We start from the raw sequence: 20,784 nt of genomic DNA, 5'->3' as shown, positions 1-20,784 counted from the left end.
TCTGGTAAGCTATGCAAGGAGGTTGGACATCATTTGAAGATCAATGGGAAGCATTTGAAGAATTACAAGCTAAGGAATGATTGTTTCAAATTTGCGTTTTAGAAAGATCATGTTGGCCACATTCTGAATAATGGAGTGGGGAAACTGGAGCCAGTTAAGAGGCTGTTGCCAAACATCCAGGGGAAAACTGATACTGGCTTGAAATAAGGAAATGGCCATGGGGATGGAGAGAAATGGATGGAGGTCAAGGTCAAGATCAATGTGAAAGGTTGAGGCTGCAGCTCTAGAAATGGGAGTCACAGGTGGACAGACAAGACCCGAATCAGGGGGCAGCGGCAGCCCCTCAGGGAGACTGCATCATGCCAAGAAAGAAGGGACCAAACGTCTGATGCTGGGTTCTGTGTTTGGATCAAAAGCTGGGAGACTCCTGGGTTCCTGCCTTTGCTCCTCCCTCGCCGGCTGTGTGAATTCGGGGTGTTCACGTCTCCCCTCTGGGTTCGCTCTCCCCATTTGTAAGATACTGTGACTTGAATAGGATCAGTGATCCTTACTGTCCCATGGAGCCCTAGGAGTCCTTGGGAAGTCAGTCCTTCAGCAGCAGGGGCTGAGGTGACATTTGGTGGCTGTGGCTTGGGACTGTCACCTCCTCTTTAAGCACAGTAATTCCGCTTCAATTTGTTTTGTAATTGGCCTTCTGACTCAGCTTTGATTTGAAGAAAGGGTTCCATGACTCAAAAGAGTTTGATGAGGGATGACCTCTCGTGTTCCATCTGGCAGAAGGTAGAGCCACACCCAGTTGGGAGTTTCCCTGATACTAGGAAGAGCGACATCTCCATAAGTCAGAGGGAATTAACAACTATAGACCTTACGGCACTGTTTGGTGCAGACTCTAGATCCAAGGAAAACTCATGACCCTGCACCCAGGGGTCTAAGTGGTCTTGTCTGAAGGGTTAGCATCTCCAACCCAAGTACTCCAAGAGTGACAAATAAGATTCAGCTCTGGCAGTGGATGGTAAAGTTGCCTGGGGCTGCACTGAGGAGCACTCGGTGAGGATAAATGCTGTGATTGATTAGAAATGTCTGCTCTGGACAGTAAATGGGTGGTAATGGTGTGTGTGCCATGAATCTGCTAGCTTTGATCTAATCTTTGCTGTTTAACAGGGACATGAACTCTCATTCCCATCACGGCCCCAGGCTGCTCTATTGTGCGATCTCTTCTTTCTCCTCCTTTTGTTGTTGAGTACTTCAAAGGTCTATCCTGGCCCTCTTCCCAGTGGACCAGTCACTTCAGGAAACGAATGGGCTGCTCTCTGGAGGAAGCCAGATCACTCAATGAGTTCCCATTTCTCTAGAATTAGATGGTTAGTCATGCCGACCAGGGGCAGTAGGTGGGCTCAAGGCCAGGGAAGCACAATGCTTCTTTACTGAGCCCCCAGGGCGTGGGCCTTGTTTCCCAAAGATGTCCAAGGCCATGTTCAGGAGCCTCTTGCCACCATTGTGATCCCACTTGCTGCATCTGTGAGGGACTGCCAGTGCTAATGGTTGGGGTGGAGGCAAGAGGAAAAAAGGGCACTCTGCTACTCAGGAAATTAAAAACCTGCCATTCTCTTTAATATTTTAAAAAAGTAATCTTCATGACATAAATAAATCATGTTTATTGTAGAAAAGCTGAAAAACATGGATAAGCAGAAAGAAGAAAATAAAAGACATCTATGTTCTGATACTTACAGAAAAGCATTATTTCAACAAGTTAGTGTGTATCTTTCCAGACTTCAGCAGCTCTAGACACCAGCCCCTCAGAATGGACGATGGCTGTAGCCCTGGGGTGAGTGGAGGCCTCCCAGCTGTGCCAGGCATTAACCCTGTAGTTGCTGACTGGTGGGAAGGTCTAGGGTTCCTGGGGGTGGAGCCAGGGCAAATGGGGTGGCCTGCATGGGGCTCAAGTGATGGCTCTTTCCAACCAGACAGGAACTAGTTTGTTAACAAGCTGAGCTGGCACTTTATGGATAATTCTCAGTGGTGTCTATCCCTGCTCCTCCGAGGCTATAATTAGACATATTGGCTGGATGCAGGCCTGGGCTTAGAAATACTACTGCTGGTTGGCGTTAGGAGGGGTCACTTCCTAGTCAACGTCCCTATTTGCATTTGAAGCATTGTTGCTCCTGGCGGGTGAGTTGAGCCGCACATATCCCTTTCTCTTTTTATAAATCCATATTTCCCTCATCACTCTCTCCCCACAACAGGGACTGAGAGGTTTCCTGGAAGAAAAAGAATCTGTGATCCCTGTTTTTACTTTAGGAGTCAAGGATAAAAACAACTTCACCTTCTGGGCTAGGCTGGCCTCAATCCAGAGCACACAGAAAGGATCACAGGATTCCAGAACAGACACTCACCATAAGAGAAAACACAGCCTGCACAGGTGCCAGGACTCAGCACCCAGGCCCTGGTGGCTGGAGATGAGGGTTCCTTCTGAGCACGGTTTGAGGCTGGCACTAGAACCTTCCTGATCCAGCCACCCTAGAGGAGTGGGTACCCCATGGGGAAGATCGTGCATAAAAATTTAATGATTCTAACACTTTGGGGCTTGGGCAACATTGCTATAGGGCCCTTCTCAACTGCAGGAGTACACAGTTCTGAAGGGACAAAGAGGTATCCCCAGTTTAGGAGTCCAGCCAGCAACTGTAGATCTTATACAACCTGATCAGATCTGGGAGGGGCAGAGAATGGCATAGAACAAGCTGCAGCTATATGGTCCAGTCTGAGAGATGTGACTGAACTTCTCTCTCTCTCTGCCAGGCGACAAAGGTGCTCAGGGCTTATTTGACAAGTGGTTAAACTTAGTGATTAAGAGTACAGATTCTGGAGCCAGACTGCTTGGGTTTGAATCCCATCTCTACCACTTATTTTCTTTGTGACTTTGGGCAAGTGACTTCACCTCTCTGTGCCTCAGGTTTCTCATTTGTAAAGTGGGGGGACACATAGAGTCTATCTTAGAGAGTTGTTATGAGGATTAAATTAATATATGTAAAATTATATCTAGCTGATTGCTATGTTTGCTGACACACACATACACCCTTAGGTGGTTTTGAAGTTGTAGCATTTAGGAATGGGAACACTGGAAAAGCTGGAAATTCTTGTTAATTTGGAAGGTGAGGCTTTGAAGTGGTTCTTTTTTTTTTTTTGAGACAGAGTCAGCTGGAGTGCAATCAATGGCAGGATCTTGGCTCACTGCAACCTCCACCTCCTGGGTTCAAGTGCTTCTCATGCCTCAGCCTCCTGAGTAGCTGGGATTACAGGCGTGCACCACCACACCCAGCTAATTTTTGGATTTTTAGTAGAGATGGGGTTTCACCATGTTGACCAGGCTGGTCTCGAACTCCTGGCCTGAAGTGGTCCACGCGCCTCGGCCTCCCAAAGTGCTAGGATTACAGGTGTGAATCACTGTGCCTGGCCCAGGAGTGGTTCTTAAATTTGAGGATGCATCAGCATCATCTGGAAGGCTGCTTGTTAAAGCACAGATTTCTTGGCCCCACCCCCAGTCAGTCTGGGGTGGGACTGAGCATCTACACTTCTCACAAGCTCCCAGATGATGCCCATGCGCTGTGGTCCACAGATCACACTTGGAGCAACACCAGTTTTGAATATTGTTATAAATCTATTTTATTTCTTCTTTTTACTGAGTATAATCTTCTCTGACATTTTGTAACCAGACTGTAAACTTGACAAGGGCAGGGGCCATGACCTTACTCACCATTGAATACACAGCGTCTGACATGCTGTAGATACCCGATAAATATCGGCTGAAAGGAGGATAGCAGCACGCTTTTTGCACTCAACAATGTTCTTGTGTACATTTTTCGTGTTAATAAATATTCTCCCACAACATTGTTTGGTTGGTTGCATAGTTTTCCCTTGTATGGTTGTAAGTGAGAGAACAACTTGAGCTTGCTGGAACAAAAAGGAAGAATTCAGTCTAAGTAGGCAGGGTGCCTCAGCGACTGGAACCAGGAAGCTGAGAACCAACAAAAGGATCTTTCCTATTGCCTCCCATCTGCATCCCCCTGTGATGGCTTCATTCCCTTTCCCGGGCTTTTGTGACTTTTCTGTCCACATGACATCCAAGATGGCTGCTTACATCTCCCAGATCTCTTGTTACAGCACCTGCCATGTGGTCAGTCTGTCTGTCTGCCCTTTAGTCTCTCTCCTAGTAACTCCATTAGGGACTCTGGCCCTGCTGGGGTCAGTGCTCACCCCTCATCCAATCAAGGAGGAGGGCCATATTCAAATATGGCTGCCAGGTGCCCCTGTGGTGGTAGTCGGGGGACTGAGTACAAGAAAAGTGGGGCCTGGTGATCGCCAAACGATCCACTCTAAATTGCCTTCCATTCATCTTCTCATCCCTCTCTTTAAACCTGATTTCAATTTCAATCTGGTGACCAGGATTTGGTTTCTGTGGACTTTTCTGGGCTCAGAGCAGGGATTTGACTGACTTAACCCCATCTCTCTTCCATTAGCGATAATGGCCCATGGCAGCGTCACAGGTTTGTCTGATGTCTTTGAACATTTAATCCACACAACGTGATTTTGAGGGAGGCAGGAGGTTTCACCCAATGAGGCCTGTTTAGTACCAGCAAGTCTGCTCATGATCCGAAATGCAGCTGAAAAAATAAATATAATTAAAAAGATAACTCAGGCCAGCGTTCCCAGAGACTGTTTTACATGGGCGCATAATGAATGCTAAACTCAGTGCAGCAGTGCCAAAAAGCAAAATAAATTCTTGGAGTTGGTCTGTTTCCTGCCTGCAATACATTTGCTTGTTCCAAACAAATATATTTGTCAATACAACACAATTAGGAAGGCTGAGCCAATCAGACCATCAAATATCCAGAGAAGCAGAACGTGGCTTCCATACACTTTGCCAGATGGAGCCAAGGTCTGGGCGTGTTATGACCAAATCAATTACAGCCCGGGCAGGCCTTACATTCCCTTCCAGGACAAGCTTCCTCATCTCTTCTAGTTACCGAGGGAGTTCTGACTTTTTCTCCCTTTCCTTCTCTCTAGTATTAATAACCTTGAGGCCCCTCCTTCCCAATCTTTTGGTTAATTTACCATTTTTTTTTTTTTTTTGGCTAATAGCTAGAAACAACTTTTGACATATATAGTTTGTAGAATGAGGGCCTACCAAAATAGGACTAATAATGAGTATTTATAATAATAGCTACCATTTATTGCACAGATGCCAGGCATTTCACACTCGCGGTTTCTCCTGACCCTCACAGCAATCCTGGGATAGGTATTACTAGTTTCATTTGATAGGTGAGGAAACAGGCTCAGAGAGGTCAAATGATTTGTACAAGGCCACACAGCTAGTGAGTGACTGAGCTGAGGTTAAAACTCTGCTCTTTCTAATGCTTGAGCTTGTGTTAGGACTATTGATGTTAAAAGACATAGAATCTAACCCAACCTGGCTTTAAACAATAAGGGGATTAAACGGCCTTTGAGCTGATAGCCCAGGTGTGAACTTCAGGCAAGGCTTAATCCAGCCACTCTAATGACGTCTTCAAGGACCTGGCTTCTCTCTGCTCTGCCTGCCTTCATCCTTAGGCTCCTCACCATTGGCTTCTATAGCCCACACCTCTGAGCTCTTCCTTCAGGAAAGGAAATAATGACAGCAGCTACATCCTTTAAATTCTTAAGCCTCATCAGTCTGGAGAAGAAAGAATGTCCCCTCTGGTAGTACCCACAGAAGAGAGAGGAGCTTCTACTTTCAAACTCTTGGCATTCCATTTGCTTGGGTTAAATTAGGTGCCCATCCTTGAGCCATAGCACCTGGCTTAGGGATATGACGTGTTGGTTAGTTTAGATTGATCAGGCCCCTCTCTGGAGCTGGGGTGGTCATCTGTCTTGCAAGAGCCTCAAGGCTGAGCAAGGGGAGGGACAGAGATCCTAGAGCAAACCTGGGTGCTGTCATCGGAATAGGGGCATGAATTGGCAGAGGGGATGGCTTAAATAGTTAACCAACTGGCCTGGCACAGGCACTGACCAATTAGAACAGATGCTGGCTATGAAGACTCATTAGCCATTTGCTATTCAAAGTGGGCTCCTTGGACAGCAGCATCAGATCATTTGGGAGCCTGTTGGAAATGCAGGATCTCTGGACCCACTCCCAACACACTGAATCAGAATCCGTACTTGAACAAGATCTCTAAATCTTTAACAAGATCTAGCAAAGTTTGAGCAGTGCCGATTTAGCAGAGTGATGGAGCATGATAAATACATAAATGCATGATAAAGTGCCTGGCATGTGGTGGGTGCTTAATAAACATAGTTCCCTTCTTCCCATCCCAAATGTTTGCAAATGGGGAAACTGACTATCTTAGTCTGTTTTCTGTTTCAATAACTGAATACCTGAGACTGGGTAATTTATGAAGAAAAGAAATTTGTTTCTTACAGTTCTGGAGGCTGAACGTCCAAGATCACATGTGGTAAGGGCCTTCTTGCTGATGGGATTCTACAGAGTCCTGAGGTGGCGCAGGGCATCAAATGGCTCATGAGAGATGAGGGGCTCAGGAAAGACGGCCAAACTGATTTTTATTACAGACCCATTCCCGGGATAACTAACCCATTCCCTCAATAACCCATTAATCCATTACTCCACGGATGGATTAATCTGTTCATGACAGCACAGCCCTCATGACCCAATCACCTCCCAGATGTTGCACTTCTCAATGCTGCTGCATTGGGGATCAAGTTTTCAACCTATCAACTTTTGGGGAACACAGTTAAATTGCAGCATTGACCCAGCAGGATTTCTACATGCCTAAAACATAGACATGGACTCTGATGCCCTGAGGGCTAGCCTGGGGCTTGGCTTTTCTCAGTACATCAGAGGTTCTAAACCCAGGCTGCACATTAGAATCCTCTAGTGAATTTTTAAAAATCTTGACGGCCAGGCATCACCCCAAATCAAGTCAGTCAGTATCTCCCAGGGGAGATCCAAGCATCAGTACTTTTAAAAGTTCCTCAGTCAATTTCTATGAGCAGCCAAGGTACAGAACCAGTGCCTCCCACTTTGCTGCCTTCTGAATTCATTAAACTGTAAGAAGGCTCTGCTTTCAACAAAAGGGTCTGCTTTGAACACTTCTGGGTGGCTGGCTACAAACCCAAGGGTGATGGTTCCTGTCTTCGAACACTGAGCATGTGCTCTGACATGGCTGTGCCTGGTAACACAGAGGAGTGCCTGGTAACACAGAAGAATCTGTGCTGACTGGCTCCAGCTTGCACTTCTCAGATATCTGGTAGAGGTTCAGTTTCTGAGCCAGGGAACCAACAGGCATGGACCCATAGCCTAGACTCCAGGGATTCGGCAGGGCAGGTGGGGAGCAATGATCACCTCTGCAATTCTGCACCGCCAGGTCCCCAGATGCATACTCAGAAGTCCTGGACCCCTGGGGCATCTGGCGAAACCTCTGGACTCTTCTCAGAAAAAAAAAATTTTTTGTTTTACATAATAAGACTAAGGAGACTAGGCATGGTGGCTCACACCTGTAATCCCATAACTTTGGAAGGCTGAGGCAGGAGGATGGCTTGATCCCAGTTCGAGACCAGCCTGGGCAAGAGCGAGACATCTTCTCTAGTTCGAGACCAGCCTGGGCAACAGTGAGACGTCTTCTCTATTAAAAATTAAAAATAAAATTAGCCAGGTGTGGTGGTGCACACCTGTAGTCCCAGCTACTTGGGAGGCTGAGGTGGGAGGATCACTTGAGCCCAGGAGGTCAAAGCTGCAGTGAGCCATGATCATGCCACTGCACTCCAGCCTGGATGACAGAGCAAGACTCTGTCTCAAAAAAAAAAAAAAAGTACTAAGGAAAGAAATAGTTTTGAAATACAATTATCATCTGGGCATGGTGGCTCACAACCTGTAATCCCAGCACTTTGGGAAGCTGAAGTGGGCAGATCACTTGAGGCCAGAAGCTCAAGACCAGCCTTGCCAACATGGTGAAACCCTGTCTCTACTAAAAATACAAAAATTAGCCAGCGTGGTGGCACGCGTCTGTAATCCCAGCTACTCGGGGGACTGAGGCACAAGAATCGCTTGAGCCTGGGAGGTGGGGGTTGCAGTAAGATGAGATTGCACCTTGCACTCCAGCCTGTGACAGGGGGAAACTCTGTCTCAAAAAAAATATGCAATTATCAAGATATTAAAAAGAAATGTACATATATGCTTCTTCTTCTTCTTTTTTTTTTTTTTTTTTACATATGTGCTTCTTTATGAATGCGTTAAATGAGAAGGTCTGGCAGTGTGTCTCACAGCTACCAGAAGCTTGAAGTGGTGCTGAACATGCATAATGTGCTGAGACGTCTGCAGCAACTGTCCTTCCATAGGTAACTATCTGTGATTTCTACTGGTGACAGTCACAGGCGCTGCTAATCTGACTGTAGTTTGTCACATTTACAATGGAGACAAATGCTGAACTTTGGTTAGAAGTTAGTGAAAATAATGATTCCACCCAAGTCCACTGACCCTCTGAATTCTATCCACAGACTCCTTGGATTTCGTGGTCCCAGGCTGAGAAAGCTTGGGGTAGAGAAATAGGGCTGAGGGCAAATCGCTGGCTGCAGCCGTGCTGTGGAAGGTGAGTGCCACTGGGCATAGCATGTCTCCATCAGAAGATGCAATCCGTTTTTCTCCTAGGTCCTGGATGCTGAGGTTTCAAGGGAGAAGAGGTGTGTGTCCTGGGGCTAGGGGTGTGTACGGAAGGGATTCAGAGCTTCTGAGACGAGCATGCCAAGGTTCTCATCCTAGCTCTTTTCGACACTGGTACTGTCACCCAAGCATGCTGCCTAACCTCTTCAGACTTCAGTTTCTTAATCTATAAAATGGCGCTCCTAAAGCCTGCTTCAAGGGTTTCCGTAATAATGAATGACAAATGCTTAGCACGGTAGCAGTGAACTTACTAGTTAGGTGTGCCAGCTGTGTAATCTTGCACAAGCCCTTGACTTCTCCAGGACTTGGTTTCCCTACCTGTAAAATAGGCTACAAGTGCCTGCCTTATTGTGAGGATGCAGAGCCTGGCACCAAAAGACAGCCCCATACACAGTGGCCGGACAGCTGAGGGCCCCAGGCAGCCCACAGGACTCCACACACAGCAGCTCTGGAGACTGCTTCCTTGGCCAGACTGTGCAGGGGACCAGTTGCAGGGGCTAGTCCTGGAGGATTCTCGGCAACCTTAACTCCTCAGGTGCACCAGTCAGTCCCTGCAGTGAGGGCCTTGGCCAGGTGTGTGGGGACGGGTGGGGAGGAAAACACCTGGGGAAGGGTGAGCTGTTGTAGCTGGCTCCCACTCCCCTGGACTGGGTGTCTCAGGACCCTGTGTCTAGAGCCCCAGCCTCTCCCACCGTGTTGGCTCTGACTCAGCCGTGCCTGTAGGGACACCTGGAGACCAGCCAAGCCAGACCCCAGCTAGCAAGCACTAGAGCCCTGGATTTTTTTTTAAAGAAAGAACTCAGCTGGGGTGTCACCTTCCCAGCCTCTGCCCCTTTCAGTCTGGAGTCTTTCATTTTCCCTCTGTTTCTTTCTCTTTCTGTGAATGAGGCTGTACCTTGCTTCTATTTCTCTCTCCCAGTCCCTCTACCTGTCTGCCTCTGCCTCTCTCTCTCTCTCTCTCTCTCTCTCTGCATTTATCTGTTTTTCTCTCCCACCCTCTCTTTCCCGGTCCTCTGTTTATTTAGTCAGTTTCTCTCCACTGTCTGACTGTCTTTCTATCTCTTTCCGTTCCTATCTTTGCTTCTCTCTGTCTCAATGTCTGCCTGTCTGTTTCTGTCTCTTCCTCTCTCCATGTCCCCGTCCCCTCTCCACCACGCATTTGACATAGGGCACTGAGTGACTGTGGAGGACAAATGCGTCCCGAAGTTTCCCTCCACTCCCACTTAGAAGGCAGAGCCTGCAGAGGAACAAATGGGACAGGGCACATAGGGCGCCTGGGACCTCTGAGTGTACGAACAACCTTAGCGATGACTTCTGTTTCTGTTAGACTGTGAACTCCTTGAAGACAAGAGCACATCTGAATTACCTTTGAATAATCAATAACTAGCACAGGGCCTGGTATGTTGCTGATGTTCAGTAAACATTTATTTACATGAGTAAGTGATAGAATGAAAAAAAACACATTTTTTTTTTCTATCAAGTAAAATTTACTCATGACCATTTTGGGCTATCAGGACCTCTTTTTTTTTTTTTTTTTTTTTTTTTTTTTTTTTTTTTTGAGATAGGGTCTTGCTCTGTCGCCCAGGCTAGAGTGCAGTGACATGATCACGGCTCACTGCAACCTTGACCTTCAGGGCTCAAGTGATCCTCCTACCTCAGCCTCCCAAGTAGCTGAGACCGCAGGGGCATGCCGCTATGCCCGCTAATTGTTAAAATTTTGTAGAAACGGGGTCTCACCATGTTGGCAAGGCTGATCTCAAACCCCTGGGCTCAAGCGATCTTCCCGCCTTGGCTTCTCAAAGTGTTGGAAATATAGGTGTAAGCCACTGAGCCTAGCCTGTCTTTATCATTTTAAGTGAGTGCCCCCTCAGATAGAGAAACCAAAGTCAGTTTTTAAACCCTTGCTTTTTTAACTCTAATCCTCCTGGCACCATCACCACCCCTTAAACCTCCCATTCCAGAATATTCCAGAATGTACCAGGCTGTTCTTAGCTGTAGGGTCTTTGCACTTTTGATTCTCCCTGCTAACTCCTGTTCATTCTTTCCATTTCCTCGTGGATGTACCATTCTCCTTCCCTGACTGCCAGGCTAGATTTGGCTTTCCCCTTCTGTTCTTCCACAGTAGGCCATGCACACACCTACTTAACTTGCCTCCTCCCTCTGAACTGTAGGCTGCTTGAGGGAAGGGAGTGGGGCTTTCCTCACCTTATCTAGGACCTCGCACGGGTCCTGTAGTTCCTACAAGTTTGCCAATACGTCCTGAGCATTGTAACTCCTGGGGAGTTGCTGGGAAGTGCCAGTGGCTAAGTGATAGCTCCTAGCTCTATCTCTAGTTTTTAGCAGTTAAAAGACAATCTTGTCCAAGAATGAGAAGACCACACAAAATGCAGGTGGAGGAGACCAGTCTGGGGAAGCCACTTCCGGGCACCCAGGAACGCCTTGCTGGCTGTACCTCGGCTGGGGCAGGAGCCCGCACGAGAGTTACTTGCCCTTCAGCTTCCATGTTAGACAGGTTGGTTCTCAGCCAGGCTGAGCCCCAGGCACAGAAATAACTACCTGCTCAGACTGGTGGTTCCACCCCCCATCTCCTGCAATATTTTTTCAACAGGAGGAAGTGAAATGAATTAATTATGAGCCGTGTGTGTTCACATGCATGCGTTCTGTTGCCGAGCTCCCGTTCTTGAAATGTGCAATCCCAATTGCAAATGAAACGCTCCCATCCTACCCCGTGCTCCAGAGGGTTTTCATAACAGCGCCTTTGTGGGCTCCCTTGAATGTCTGCCATGCCAAGGAGGCCGCACATTCCTCCGGCGGCTGCCTCGCTGGGCTTTGAGGAAATCTGCTGGCGGCAGCCCCAGTTTGCAGGAGGTGGGAGGGCATGTCGGAAACGTTGCTCTTAATCTGCCCATCTCCCCTTGAGCCCCCAGCAGCCCAGGGAGGAGGGGTTCAGATAAAGCCACATGCAGCAGGCAGATTAAGAGCTGCTGTTTTTATCGCTGCTTTCAGAGTCTCATGTCACATGGGCATTAGCAAGCAGGGGCGAGCAGGGGGGCACGCAGGGATGGGGGAGAAGGGCTGGCACCGCCCACCCCAGCAGCCGTCATGGCCCTGCCTGGAATCACTCGTGGGCAGCTGTAGCAAGGAGTGAAAGACAAAAATGATCCTGAATTGTGGCCTGGAAATATGAGCTTTGTATAGAGGCTCGTGGTGTTTAATGTTCAGAATATTAAATGTAACTGTGATGATAATGACAGCAACTGACATTCACTGTACGCTTACTAAATATTTTTCATATATTATTTAAATTGATCTTCATCATAAGTCTGTGGTGCAGGCACTGCTCTGATTCCCATTTTTCAGGGGGAGCCTTAAAGGAGGTCAGGAATGTGTGGGGGTCTCATGGTAGTCAGCAGTGGAGGTGGGACTTGAACTCGAGGAGCCTGGCTTAGGAGCCTGCGCATTGGCTTTCTCCTCCTTAAAGCCAGGGTGGGCTACAGCAGACAATACTGTTTAGAAGAGCACATGATGGACTTCAGCCTGTCACAGAGCTGTGTTCAGCTTCCAGCTCTGCAGCTTCCTACCTGGGGGCTCTCAAGAGGGTCGCTTCACCTCTCAGGGCCTCAATTTCCTCTGTGTGATACCTGGAGAAGCACACCTGTCTCACAGCTGCTGTCACGATTGAAGAATATAACACATATAAGGTGCCTGGTGGGCATCAAATTGCATCCCTCCAAAAAGATATGTTGAAGCCTTAACCCCCAGTTCCTGAGAATGGGACTTTATTTGGAAATAGGATTGTTGCAGATGTAATTAGTTGAGGTCACTGGGTGAGATGGGCCCTTTCCAATGTGGTTGGTGTTCTTAAAGGGGGAAATTGGGACACAGAGCCAGATACACACAGAGCTAAGACTCAGAGAAGATGGGCCTGTGAGGGCAGAGGTAAGTTATGTGGCCACAAGCCAAGGAACACCGATGATTGTTAAGAACTGCCTTGGCAAGGTGGATTCTTTCCCAGAGCCTTCAGAGGGAGCACAGCCCAGCTGAAGCCTTGATTTTGGACTAGCCTCCAGGACTGGGAGAGAATACACTGTCATTTAAAGCCACCCAGTTTTTGGTACAGTCATCACTTGGTATCCATGGGGGATTGGTTTCAGGACCCCCGTGCACCCAAAATCCAAGGATACTCAAGTCCTTGATATAAAATGGCATAGTATTTGCATATAAACTATGCACACCTTCCTATATACCTTAAACCATCTCCAGATTCCTGATAATATCTAATACAATATAAATGCCACGTAAGTACTTGTTATGTCATATTGTTTAGGGAATAATGACAGGAAAAAAAAGTCTGTGCATGTTCAGTACAGATGTAGTTTTTCCCCCTGAATATTCTTGATTCCATAGATGTGGAACCCACAGATGCAGAGGGCTGACCGTGCTTTGCTATGGCAGCCTGAGCAAATGAAAGCAGTGCTAATGATCATAGAGGCCGCCAGTGCCTGCACTTCTTCTCCAGGCCACCCTGGAGTCACCTGCAGCTTGGTGTGCACAGCATGGCTCTTACCTCAAGCACCAGTGTCTCCCTGCCCAAAGGTTCTCTCTGAATGCAGAGCAAGCCTAGCAGGGCACCGAGGAGGCTGCAAGTGCCAAGAATGAATGCCCTGTGAACAGCCCTCAGTCAGTGAGGACTGCGAGCTGCGGGGTGGATACCCAGCCTCCCTATCTCTGGACAGGATGATTTTGAGTTGTAATCTATGCAGCCTCTCAGAGAATGTCCAGGGGGATTGAGCTCCAGTTGCTCATAGTGGTAACTCATTTATTAATGTCACCTTCCATCCTTATTTCCCTTCCCTTCTCTCCTACTGGTGCTTCCTAATATCACCTCCTAATAAACTGTACTCCAAGCCTTGTCTTGGGGTCTGCTTTGGGGGAGAACCAAGAGAAAGACAGGCATGGGATGATACTCAGTCAAACAGCCCCTGCTTTATCTTCCTGATTACAATTTCAGCCAGAGGCTGGCATCCTTGAGCTAAATGGACCAGTAGCTAGTCTTTGACCAACTGGGAAACTTTGAAGACCCTAAAGGTCCCTGCCCCCAGCAAAAAGCTCTAGCATCTTAGGGAGATGAAGATGACATCAACGATGATGGAGACGGCAATTTACAGGAGTGGGGAAATGACATTAATCAGAATTCTTGGGCACAGCCCTTGGGAGGCTGCTGTCTGGTGGGACTACTCCCCACAGAATCTCAGGGAAGGCTAAGCTGTTGCTTCTCAGGGGCCATTTGAGGCAGAGGGTCATGGGTGGGGAGCCTGGGCTTTTAGAAGGGAGCAGAGGCCAGGGGAGAGATGGTGGGACTCCGAGGGAGAAGATGTGGGCAGGATAATCTCTCCTGGTGACTCCTCAAGCCTTCTGGAAAGTTACTAAGCTGTGCAATTCATGCAGGTGGCAGGATTCTTGTAAAGCAAGTGAAGGGGCCAGGGTCCATGTACAGTCCAAACTGAGCAGGCACAGCAGACACAAAGGTGGAGAAGTAAGGTGGGCAACCTGTTGCCATTGTGGGAAGGGCCCTGGCATCATGCAGGCTGGGTGCAGGGGTCTGAGCCGAGTTGACCCAAATCCCAAGGGACAGAGTAGCATGGAGCAGACATTGGTCATTTGTGGCTGCCCATCACTCAGAAACCCTCTTCCTCCATTTTAGGCAATTTTCCTTGTTTTGAGTCCAGCCTTAACAGGATGGAAGGAAGCAGACATGCATTGCTGGACTCCCTGGCATTTCACAACATGACCCTGCAAGGGCCTGCACATTCGAGGGCCCCACGGGAGCCCAGTGTTCAGAAGTGAGCACTCCGAGGACACGGCCACACAAAGGGAACCCCATCATCTGGCAAGCACAGTGGCCAAGGAATTCTGCCCTTCAGGGGCAGTCGAGAGGGGCCCTGGATAGTGGTTCTGTGTGTCTGAGGAGCTTTCCTCAATGACAGAAGAGCAGTGTTTTCTCAGAAGTCCCCACGGTGTGGCCGGACATGGCTCCTGGCTGTGAAGCTTCAGAGTGGCCTTCCGTACATAGTCCTCCTCGGGTTGCTGTGCTGTGAGCGAGCTTATCTCCTCTAATACATTATTTTTTTTTCTGGTTAAGCAAGCGTGAGTAGATTCTGTTATTTGTCCTTAACAATCCTGCCCAATATGGGTCTGAGTGACTTCTAGATCTCAAAAATAACAGTCAACATTTACTGAGGGTTTAGTAGGAGGCTGGCTGTATCTTACATAGCTTGCATGCATTATTTCAATAGATTATCCCAACAACCACATATGACAGAGGGGGGAGCCTGTGGGGAACTGGATGGCAGGCTCAGGGCTGTATAGATCCAAAACTTGTTTTTTTCACCATCTCTTGGAACCACTGGGCCTGCAACTTTCTTCACTTGCCATGACGGCTGACAGCCTTATTTTGTGTACTGGTGCCCAGATGAAAATTCTCCTCCTTCTTTTTTCTCCCTTTCCACTGCCCTAATGATGAACGCCCGTTGCTAAAAGAAAAGAAAGCTCATGTCTTAGGCTGAATGCATCAAATTATGGTAAAAAGGAGGGTTGGAAGTTGGGAAGATGATCTTTATCTTTCCCACATTTAGCTGAGTAGAAACGATATTGAGTCAAGTCCTGCTATCAAATAGGAATGTCTCCTACCCAATACTCCAAAAATAGGCCATAATCCATACTGGTGGTCACCAAAGATTGAGCTCCGTAGTCATTACTTTTGAGCTCTTTCTGAGGCTGAGAGTACTGCAGATGCACTGAAGAGGATTTTTAGACCCATTTAATAACAGCATGCAGAAGATAAACAAGAAGAAACAATAGCTAACATATGTTGGGATCTTACTACCTGCCAGACACTGCACTCAAGCCTCCTTTTATTTATTATCGATTAGGTGCTATTATTAATAGCCTCAATTTACAGAGAAGGTGCAGTTTGCCTGGGGCCACCCAGTTGGGAAATGGCAGAGCCAGGGTACAGCTGGGAGCAAGTCTCTTAGCTCTTGGGAGGTTTCGTGACACCTCCCAAGAAGTACTGCCTTAAATCCCCCCATTGATTTTAACTCATGTCTTGATTTCCGAAATGTTACAAAATGAAGGGGCATGCATCTTGGAGATGAGGAAATATGGAGGCGCTAAACTCATGGGGGAGCCCTGGGAAGGCTTCCATAATTCACTGCTGCCTCTCCCTCCTTATCAGGGAGGGAAGGGAGGTAAGGATGAGATGTCTTGGGGGCTGATGGCTCAGCAGAACCGAATTCATCTCCGTCTCTCTCTGAGGCTTCTATTAGCCTGGACTGTACCTGTCCTTGTGGTGAAGCCGGCCTTAGAGTAGAGACTGAACTGGACCCTGCTGGTCAATGCAGAACTTTTCCTTAGCTGATGCAATCCTGGGTCTGTGCTGATTCTAAAACCCTGGAAAGCCTCCTCAAGGGGCTGAATCACACTCCCCTTCTCTTTTAATTATTCAGGACCTGACACGCTGACTGGGAATACATCACTCAGAGTACATGGCTGGTAAGATTAAATATTAGAGGAAACTCTTTTAATTAATTTTTAATGCGTTCTTTAGAACAATTCTTCATACCTAACCACACACCGAAACAGAGTACTTAAAAGAAAAATTAACGTTTAGGATCTCAGGGGCTTGTAGGTCTAGACAGCCCCTATTTGGGTTGCCTCTAAGCTACATATCAGGGTGCACTAGTGACTACATCCATGGCATGGGATGAGCAGGTGTCCTGATTTTACTGGGACAGTCCCAGCTTATGCCTGTTTTCCCAGTGTACTTATTATTAGTGCCCCCTTTCCTCCTAAAAGTCTTCCAGTTTGGATGCTAAAGGATATAGTCACCCTACTTAAAGGCCATCACTCTCCCTTTCCTTGCCAGTGGCAGACATCACTAGTTCATCACAGCACCATTTCTGTGCTCAGTTCACGTGCATCTCCAAAACACATTCTCTGTACAACCCTCCAGGCAGCCACTCTGAGCAATCAAAGTTGGCTTTGAGATGAATCCTATTTTTCTTTCCTTAGAAAGCCGTTTACACCATTTTTTTTTAATTAAAAAAAAAATTAGAGTCAAGGTTTGTACTCTGTTGCCCAGGCTGGAGTGCAGTGGCACAATTATAGCTCACTGCACCCTCGAATTCCTGGACTCAAGGGATCCTCCTGTCTCAGCCTCCTGAGTAGCTAGGACTACAGCTGTGTGCCATCAGACCTGGACACTTTTTTAATGTTTAATTTTGTAGTAATGTGTCTTGCATATTGCCCAGGATGCTCTCGAACTCATGCCCTTAAGCAATTATCCCACCTTGGCCTCCCAAAGCACCGAGATTACAAGCATGAGACATTGCTCCTGGCCTGAATTATTATATTTTTTAATTTCATCTCTATCTTTATCTTTAAACCCTTTTTCCATTCAGGGCCTTACTTTTTTTCTATGGGACCACTATTGTCATTTTATGTGGGGCAATTCATTGTGGGTGACTATCTGAAGCATTGTAGAACATTCAATATCCCTGGTCCTGTTGGCACTAAATGCCAGTAGCACAATCTCTCCCACTCCCCAAACCTGGTCATTCTGACAAACAAAAAACAAAAATATGTCCACCCTGCCCTACTCTCATTTTCAAAACACCCCCAGGGGAACAGTACTGCCCTGGGTTGGAGATATAGGCAAGTAGTAAGAACTACACAAGTCCAAAGAATGTTGCTTTGGTTATCTACTGCTGCACAATAAATCCCATTTTCTCCCTCCTCTCCAAAGAATTTCGTGATTTAAAACAACAACAATTTTTTTTTAATCTATCTTCTCACAGTTTTGCAACTTTGGCAGGGTTTGATGGGCAGCTCAACTGGCACTAGAGGCTTTTCCAAGAAAGCTCACTCACATAGCAGGCAAACCGGTGCTGGCTGCCAGCTGTGAGCTCAGCTGGGGCTGCTTCAGTTTTCCTTCATGTAGGCTCCTCCACAAGGCTGCTTGGGCTTCCTCACAGCAAGGTGGCTAAGTTTCAAAGAGGAAGTGGAAGCTGCTGTTCTCTTAAAAGTGAGGCCTGGAGCTGGCATGTAGTCACTTCTTCCATATTCCATTTGTGAAAGCAGTCACAGGGGCAGCCCAGGTTCCGAGGATGAAGAAAATAGACCCCACTTCTCAGTGGGGCAATAGAAATAATTTTAATTTGTTTCATGTTTCTTTACATTATCTCATTTTGAGAATCACGATAATCTCAAAAAAAGTAGACTGGCAGATCCCTTGGATTCTCCCACTTTATAGGTGGTAAAACTGAGGCTCTGAGGCGTGACTTGCCCAGAGCAGATAGGTAGTTAATAAGCCATGACTTTGGAATGGAAGGGAGGGCCGTGGTAGGCTCTGAGGTATTCTTCTGATCTCCTTAGAACCAGTGTATCGTAGGCCAAGTCAGACGGAGACAGAGGGTGTGACTTGTATGAGGATCTGTTTCTTGGTAGCTCAGCCCTGGCATTGCTCTTGGCTGCCTTAGCCTCATCCACTGTGCCCAGGTGCCCCCACAGTCCCAGGGTCTCTGTTTTAGTCTGTCTTTTGTTGCTTTTAACAGACTATCTGAAACTGGGTAGTATATGAAGAAAAAAATATTTCTCATATATATGGAGGCTGAGAAGTCCAAGATCCTGGGGCCACGTCTGGTGAGGACCTTCTTGCTGATGGGGACTCTGTAGAGTCCTGGGATGGCTCAGGGCATCACAGGGCGAGGGGACCGAGTGTACTAGTCCAAATCTCTCTTCCTCTTCCTATAAACCCACCAGTCCCACTGCCATGATAATCCATTAACCCATTCATCCATTCCTGAGGGCAGAGCTCTCATGACCTCTTAAAGGCTCCACCTCCCAATCCTGCCACATTGGAGATTAAATTTCAACATGCATTTCGGAGGGGACAAACGTTCAAACCATAGCAGCCTCTTTCATTTACTCATTTGCCAAACATTTATCGAGCATCATCAGGTGCCAGACACTGTGCTAGACCTGGAAGATTGCGAGGTGAATGAGAAATAAATGGCTTTGGTGTCCCCACAGTCTTGAAGGGAGACAATAATGACTTGATGGCACAAACCAGGGAGAAGCAACATCTGCGAGGAGAGCCATAAGGGGAGAGAACATGGGGGCTGCAGGCATGCATATGGTGGGAGCTGGCCTGTCAGGGGTGGGGGGAGGTGTCCTCGAGGAAGTGACACTTAAGCTAAGATCTGAAGGCCAGGGAACAAACAAGGAGGCGAAGCGAGAGGGGATGGGGAGGATGTTCCAGGCTGAGAGGCACCATATGCCCTGGTGGGGGTTTCAGGGAGCTCGAGTGTGTTTGGTGGCTAATCACAGAGAGTGGTGCAAGAGATCCGTGGAGGAAGGAAGGGACCAGATGGGGCAGGACCTGGTGGGCCAGTGAGGGATGCTCTTCTGCTTGTTATTCTTGTGTGTTATTTTGAGAACAATGGAAAACATCTTGTTTTGGAAAGATTCTCCCAGCTGTAGCTTGGAGAATGGATTGGAGGGACAAAAATGCATTTGGGGAGCATGGGCCCCTCAGCCCCTGCTGAGGAAGCAGCTGGAGATAGTGCAAAACATGCTGACCAAAGTAGTCTCTTCTCCATGCTCCATAATGCTTCCTGCCCACCCACCCCACCTTCAGCCCCAGTGAGTTGTTAGTGGTTGAGATGGGGCTCTGCTCCACAATGCAGGGGCTCCCACATTCTAAGCATCTTGCCCTTTCCATATGCTCCAAAATACAAGGCCAGGAATAGGATGAAGTGAGTAAGGTACAGGGAACAACATTCACCCAGGCCTTTCTTCTTGGTCTGCATTTTGCAACCCAAAGAGTGAGCGCCTCTGTAAATTTTGTACTCTAGGTGCCTCCCTGACCTCCCTCTAGTCCTGGCCCTACCAAGATAGTTTATCACCAGACTCACATTGTGTGGGCAGGAAAGGGAGAGCAGGTAGAGGAAGCGTGCACCTTCCTTGTTGGGGCATGACCCATGGTTGTACATTTCACTTCCCTACACATCCCGTTGGCCAGAACAGTCAACAGCCATATGTAGCTGCCAGAGAGTTGCACACGTCATTTTGATTCTGGGCAGCCATGTGCCTGGCTAACGTTTGGGCTTCTGGAAGGGTAGAAGGAGAAACAGATAGGTCTGCCCACACTTCCGGATTAGAGAGGCTTTCCAGTGGTGGTTAGGGAGACAGGTGAGCTTTAAGGCTGCACAGGTTGGATTCAAACCTCAGTTCTGCCAGCTCCTGGACAAGTAGTCTTGGACAATTTAGCTCCAAGCCTCCTCTCTTCATCTGTAAAATGGGGATGGCCATAGAACTTGTTACATAGGGTACTAGGAAAAGTTGATTTTGGTTATTAAATGTCAAACAAATTCCAGAAGCACAAGCTGAGAGAAAGCTAGGAGCTCATCTAGCCCAGCCCCTATCCACCACTTTAAAAACGAGGCAATTGGGGATGGTGGTCCCAGCTACTGGGGAGGCTGGGGTGGGAGGATCACTGGAGCCCAGGCGTTCGAGGCTGCAATGAACTATGATTGTGCCACTGCACTGAAGCCTGGGCAACAGAGTAAGACTCCATTCCAAAAGGAAAGGAAAGGAAGGAAGGAAGGAAGGAAGGAAGGAAAGAAGGAAGGAAGGAAGGAAAGAAGGGAGGGAGGGAGGAAGGGAGGGAGGGAAGGAGGGAAGGAAGGAAAGAAGTGTGAGGAAATTGGGCATCAGAGTGGAGAAGAGCTTGCCAAGATTACTTGCAGTGGAGCAAGAGCTTGCCAGTGATTGGGGGAAACTGGAGTCCCAGCTCCATGGGAACCCTACTTTCCTGAATGCCTGTTCCACAGCAGCTCCTTCCTGAAGGAGAGGGTGTTCAGGATTCATATGGGAAATGAGTGGGTGGGTGGGGACAGAAGACAGAGGAGCTAGGAGGGAGACTTGGAAACTTCTGGGCTCCGGCTACATTCAGAGTTAGCTCTTCCTCCCCTCCCCTCCATGCCCTCTCCCTGTCGTACCTCGCCTCCTTCCTC

At 47.8% G+C, this 20,784-nt stretch overlaps 1 long non-coding RNA gene across 4 annotated transcripts in view, besides 3 other annotated features; it reads left to right on the top strand.

Annotated features, from left to right (window-relative positions):
• LOC105377158 (uncharacterized) overlaps positions 1 to 20,784 on the top strand; it is a 32,683-nt gene that overhangs the window by 6,610 nt on the left and 5,289 nt on the right. For 2 of the 4 annotated variants that reach the window (XR_001740749.3, XR_001740748.3), the window contains exons 4-5: positions 8,293 to 8,385; positions 8,545 to 8,636. This is a non-coding gene — a long non-coding RNA (uncharacterized LOC105377158). Of the gene's footprint in view, positions 1 to 8,292; positions 8,386 to 8,544; positions 8,637 to 16,215; positions 16,278 to 20,784 lie in introns of those variants that run through there. The other 2 variants (XR_940959.2, XR_001740750.3) reach the window with 2 other exon arrangements.
• Positions 156 to 1,355: an enhancer, noted in NCBI's record as "CDK7 strongly-dependent group 2 enhancer chr3:72348604-72349803 (GRCh37/hg19 assembly coordinates)". NCBI's record gives its function as "activates an origin of replication core promoter dependent on BRD2, BRD4, P300/CBP, MED14 and CDK7 cofactors, with strong dependence on CDK7, by STARR-seq in HCT116 cells {active_cell/tissue: HCT116}" and the evidence as "EXISTENCE:reporter gene assay evidence [ECO:0000049][PMID:35650434]".
• Positions 8,764 to 9,264: an enhancer, noted in NCBI's record as "H3K4me1 hESC enhancer chr3:72340695-72341195 (GRCh37/hg19 assembly coordinates)". NCBI's record gives its function as "activates a minimal SCP1, AML or CMV promoter by ChIP-STARR-seq in primed H9 embryonic stem cells {active_cell/tissue: H9 hESC(primed)}" and the evidence as "EXISTENCE:reporter gene assay evidence [ECO:0000049][PMID:30033119]".
• Positions 10,745 to 11,981: a transcriptional cis regulatory region, noted in NCBI's record as "candidate enhancer chr3.2860 targeted for multiplex CRISPR interference". NCBI's record gives its function as "positively regulates RYBP gene expression with high confidence in K562 cells {active_cell/tissue: K562}" and the evidence as "EXISTENCE:mutant phenotype evidence [ECO:0000015][PMID:30612741]".

The sequence above is a fragment of the Homo sapiens genome, chromosome 3, assembly GCF_000001405.40.
Source record: "Homo sapiens chromosome 3, GRCh38.p14 Primary Assembly".
Taxonomy (NCBI): domain Eukaryota; kingdom Metazoa; phylum Chordata; class Mammalia; order Primates; family Hominidae; genus Homo; species Homo sapiens.
This window is presented reverse-complemented; position numbering and strand designations above follow the sequence as displayed.